This window comes from Homo sapiens, chromosome 17 (assembly GCF_000001405.40).
Source record: "Homo sapiens chromosome 17, GRCh38.p14 Primary Assembly".
NCBI lineage: Eukaryota > Metazoa > Chordata > Mammalia > Primates > Hominidae > Homo > Homo sapiens.
In genome coordinates this window covers 77,055,667-77,058,338 of record NC_000017.11, presented here as the reverse complement: position 1 = coordinate 77,058,338, position 2,672 = coordinate 77,055,667, and the positions used below count along the sequence as shown (strand labels likewise).

The following is a 2,672-nucleotide window of genomic DNA, read 5'->3' as shown; positions in this document are numbered from 1 at the left end:
TGAACACACAGCAGGCTCAGAGGCTGGAGTGAAACAAGCCCTTCGAGCTCCCAACACACAGGCTTTTTGTAGTAAAAGCAGAAGTTTCCCCCAGAATGGTCAAATAAATGACAGTACATTCCGAAGACAGAATACAAAGCAGCCATTAAGAGTATTTCCCAAGACAAATGACCTTGGGCCATGAGAAAAGGCAGAACGCAGAAGTGTACTGTGCGGCACCATCACTATTTTGTTAAAAAATCCATATGCATAGATGAAGAACTGGCAGGGAATGCATGATAGAACTGTGGGTTTTATTTTCCTTCCTTGTAATTTTGTGTTTTACCAGTTTTCCACATTGAAAATGTTGGGAGGATTCAATAAGTTAATGTGTCTGAAAGATTTAGAACAGGGCTTGCCACATGGGACATGCTATACAGACGTTGGCTCTCACTATAATGATTTCTGTTTATCATTGGAAAAATTTTAAAGACAAATGATCTTCTTTCTTTCTGTCCTTCCTCTGCCTCTGAGAGGACAAAGAGAGTTTGACAGGAGCTGGTTCCACAAATTGTAGGGTCACACTTTCTGTCCCTGGTGCCTGCTCTGGATGGGGTGAGAACTGCCCCCCCGCCCCCCCAACCGCCCACCACCACACAAGATCCTCACCCAATCTTTTTATTTTTATTTTTAAAAATTTATTTATTTTAAACATGGAGTCTTGCTCTGTCGCCCAGGCTGGAGTCCAGTGGCATGATCTTGGCTCACTGCAACCTCTGCCTCCTGGGTTCAAGCGATTCTCCTGCCTCAGCCTCCCAAGTAGCTGAGATTATAGACATGGGCCACCACACCCAGCTAATTTTTGTATTTTTAGTAGAGACAGAGTTTTGCCATGTTGGCCAGGCTGGTCTCAAACTCCTAACCTCAGGTGATCTGCCCATCTCGGCCTCCAAGAGTGCTGGGATTACAGGCGTGAGCCACCGCGCCCACCATTTTTTTTTTTTTTTTTTTTTTTTTTTGAGATGGAGTCTCGCTCTGTCGCCCAGGCTGGAGTGCATTGGCGCGATCTCGGCTCACTGCAAGCTCCATCTCCCGGGTTCACACCATTCTCCTGCCTCAGCCTCCCGAGTAGCTGGGACTACAGGCGCCTGCCACCACGCCCGGCTAATTTTTTGTATTTGTAGTAGAGATGGGGTTTCACCGTGTTGGCCAGGATGGTCTCTATCTCCTCACCTCGTGATCCGCCCGCCTCAGCCTGCCAAAGTGCTGGGATTACAGGAGTGAGCCACCGCACCTGGCCCCCAGCTTTTATTTTGATTTTTGAGACAGGGTCTTGCGCTATCACCCAAGCTGGAGTGCAGTGGCACAACCCTGGCTCCTTGCAGCCTCGACCTCCCGCCTCTGCCTCCTGAGTAGCTGGGACTACAGGTACATGCCACCAAGTCCAGCTATTTTTTTTTTTTTTTGGTAGAGATGGGGTCTCATTATGTTGCCCAGGCTGGTCTCAAACTCCTGGGTTTAAGTAATCCTCCTGCTTCAGGCTCCCAAAGTGCTGGGATTACAGGCGTGAGCCACCATGCCCAGCTTATCCCCACCCAATCTAAACAATCTGTAAAGAGGGCTCTGAAGTGTTCCCAGAGAATTGCTGCTGCAACAGGTATAGCCGGATCCAGAGTGAGCCCTGAGGATGGCATTAGTCCCAGGGAGGTATTGTGTTTCCAGGTATCCAAGGGCTCAGCTCGGTGAAAAGCATCCAAGTGCAGGTTTCTTCCCTCAACACCCGGGACTCCGGGGGGAGGAAGATCAGTAGGGACAGAAGCGGGTGAACATCTGCCCCCGCCTCCCATCCCGCCTTTCAGGTGTTGGGAAGGCACCTGGACCCCAGGTGTCCCAGACACTGTGCCTGCGCGGCTTCGCCACGAGGGGGCGCTCCCGGCACCGCGAGGAGCTCCTTCGTGGGCCTGAAAAAGAAGGAAAATGATGTTCTCATAGCGAGGGCAGGGAGGCATCCCTGACACCGGGTAGTGCCAACAGGGCTGAAGACAAGGATGAGGAGCGCGCTTGGAACAATTTTCCTGTGCCTGGGCTCGCAATAGGCCTTGGGGGAGCTGGGGAGGCCTGGCGCCTTCTGCAGACAACATTTGCTCTCCCTGCTGGAGCCCCGGCTTGGGCTGCTGAGGGCGCGGGAAGGCAGGACGCAGAGACCTGGGGTGTCCCTGCCAGCTCCCCGGCCCGGCTTTCCGGGGGCTCCCTGAAGGCAGCCAGCGAGGGGCGGGCAGGCTGCGCTTGTAGGGTTCACAGGAAAGCGTGGGGCCCGGGGTACCCGCTGGGAATGGAGGCCTGTGGGCTGGGGCTCCGGGGGCTTCCTGCGGGAGACCAAAGAGTGTGACGGGAGGGCTCGGGCCTGAGTGTGAGTGTGCACCAGCCCGTGTGACTGCGTGTGCGGCCGGGAACGCGGTGTGTTCTGAGCAGCCACGGAAGGCCTTGATCGTGCGGGGGAAATGTTTCTGCCCTGGGCTTTCTGAGGCAAAACAATCTCATCCCTGCTCTCAGACACTAGGGCCCACGCCCAGAGCTTGTGAGCACACATGCACGCACACACACAGACACGCAGGGAGACAGACACACGCAGAGAGCCATGTGTATACTTGCACACACAGACACGTGCACACACACAGATGCACAGACATATA

General features: G+C 53.8%; 1 annotated feature.

The window, feature by feature from the left end:
• Positions 1,799-2,012: a silencer, noted in NCBI's record as "fragment chr17:75052409-75052622 (GRCh37/hg19 assembly coordinates)". NCBI's record gives its function as "represses an EF-1alpha promoter that drives an FKBP-Casp9 reporter gene in an ReSE screen in HepG2 liver carcinoma cells {active_cell/tissue: HepG2}" and the evidence as "EXISTENCE:reporter gene assay evidence [ECO:0000049][PMID:32094911]".